This window comes from Homo sapiens, chromosome 9, assembly GCF_000001405.40.
Source record: "Homo sapiens chromosome 9, GRCh38.p14 Primary Assembly".
Lineage (NCBI taxonomy): Eukaryota > Metazoa > Chordata > Mammalia > Primates > Hominidae > Homo > Homo sapiens.
The window spans coordinates 31,210,039-31,212,223 of record NC_000009.12 but is presented as its reverse complement, the minus strand read 5'-3'; the positions used below and the strand labels follow the sequence as shown (position 1 = coordinate 31,212,223).

Genomic DNA, 2,185 nt, shown 5'->3' with positions numbered 1-2,185 from the left:
TATATTGCTCATGATGTTTATAATGATGAAGCCACCTTAAACAGCATTTTTAGTTTCTATAATGTGTTATGCATAAAGTTACGAAATAATCCAGAAGTTTCTTTGCTTCGTATACACTCAAGAGACATGAAAACATTTGTCACTGAAAAACTTGCACACAAATGTTTATAGCAGCATTATAATAGCCTAAATGTTGAAACACCAAAATGTCCATGAAGTGATGAATGGATAAACAAAATGTAGTAAATTTACACAATGAAATATTACTTGGCAATTAAAAAGATAAATTACTGACCCAAACTGCAACATGGATGAACCTTGAAAACACTGTTAACTGAAGGAAGCCAGTCGTCAGGGCAATATTTGTATTATTCTGTTTATAATGAAATGTGAATAATAGGCAAAATCACAAAGACACAATGTAGATTTGTTATTGCAAGGCACTCAGAAGTGGGTAGAATGGATTATTATTTCTAATAGTAATACAACTTTAGAGAGATTTATGAAAATCCTCCAGTTGCATAGTTGTGATTGCTTTATAACTCTGTAAGTAAACCAAAAGCCATTATATTGTACACTTTTGAAAGGTAAATTTTGTAATATGTGGGTTATTTCTCAATCAAACTGTTTATGAAAACAACTAGAAATAACCTGAATATTATTAGTGTTAAAAGGAATAATTATCTATGAATACTTATCAGTGGGGGAATGACATAATTATAGAATGAAATGATGGCAGCGACAGTCCATCTGGAGTGGCTGCTGTGAGGACTCTGGCTGCAGGGGGGAGGTGCAGCTCTAGACTTTGAGTTCCAACCAGTGTGGGAGGGGCACCAGCGGAGGTGAGGGCAGCTCATCCTGCAGGCCTGCTGGCACCATCTCGCATGAACGGCCTGGGCTCCATGGACAGCGTTAATGGCAGACGGGTTCCTGCGTGGGAAGGGGCGGGTCGAGAACCCTTCAAGCCAGGAATGTTCTGAAGCCTAGGGTCTGGGGCTGCCTTGCTTGCATTCTCTCTGTGTTTTTGCATTATCATCCCTCTGTCAGCATTTTGTGACCAAAATTCCTCTTTTTATGAGTCATATTCTCATTCTGAATTAGAGATTACTGTAATTGCCTCATTTTAAGCTGATTACCTCTGTAAAAACCTATATCCAAATAAGGTGATATTCTGAAATTCTAGGTGTTAGAACTCCAATATACCTTTTTGGGATAGAGAAGGGATGCAATTCAGCTCATAAAAGCTGGCACTGGCTATTTTGAATGTTTAAGATATTATGCCTATCCTATAATTTTCACAAGTAAGCTGTCCTTTGATACTACACACACAAAAAAAAATCAGCTTGGTTTTCAGCCTGAATCAATATTGAAGAAATTCAGCAGCAAAAGTATAGAAGTTTCTTTCCCTTTAAACCAGTATTTCCTATTTATTGAAAAGACAAGTAGATATCTTAAAAACTGTCATCTACTATGCTGAATTATGACCCCAGCAATGTTTTAAGGCTTCAGCAAAAACCAGGCTTTCCGTGATGCTCTAATATAAACATAGGTATGGTTTCTCTGGCACAAATAAGCTTGCTTATAAAGAGAGTAGTAATTTTTTAATATATGCTTAGACTGGCCAATGAGAAGTCACTACATGCTATTTTGAATGTAGTCAGAAGCTGTAGATCAGTCTCAAATATTGAAATATTTTTTGAGCTATCAAACACATCTCATTAGTGCTCAGGCAATTTGGCAACTTACCTACTTCCTATCTCTGCTTCCACATAAATCTATTGATGGTAATCTTTGGGTCAACAGTTTTTCACTGATACAGTTGTGGATAGGATGGCAAAATTACATAATACCAAGAATGGCAACTTTTGTGAACAGAGTTCTACACTGAGAGGATGGGGGCTGAAAGCTGCTACTGATGTAAGGCCCTTTAATGTTTCCTGGTAGAAGACAGTATAATTTGGGATGGCCTGTTTGGAACATTCAAGATTATAAACTATTTTAGAAATAACTGAATCACATTGCAATACCCCATCAAATAATTCTATAGTTCTAAGAAAATGAAAGAATAATATTACAAAATAAAATTATATAATTTTAAAAATAATAGCTAATTTAGCAACAAATATGAGCTTGAACTTAAAGAAAATGAAAGTAACTTGAGTGTCTTTCTATTCTGTGAAAAGCT

General features: G+C 35.7%; 1 annotated feature.

Moving 5' to 3' along the window:
- Positions 477–1,676: an enhancer, noted in NCBI's record as "MED14-independent group 3 enhancer chr9:31210546-31211745 (GRCh37/hg19 assembly coordinates)". NCBI's record gives its function as "activates an origin of replication core promoter dependent on BRD2, BRD4, P300/CBP and CDK7 cofactors, and independent of MED14, by STARR-seq in HCT116 cells {active_cell/tissue: HCT116}" and the evidence as "EXISTENCE:reporter gene assay evidence [ECO:0000049][PMID:35650434]".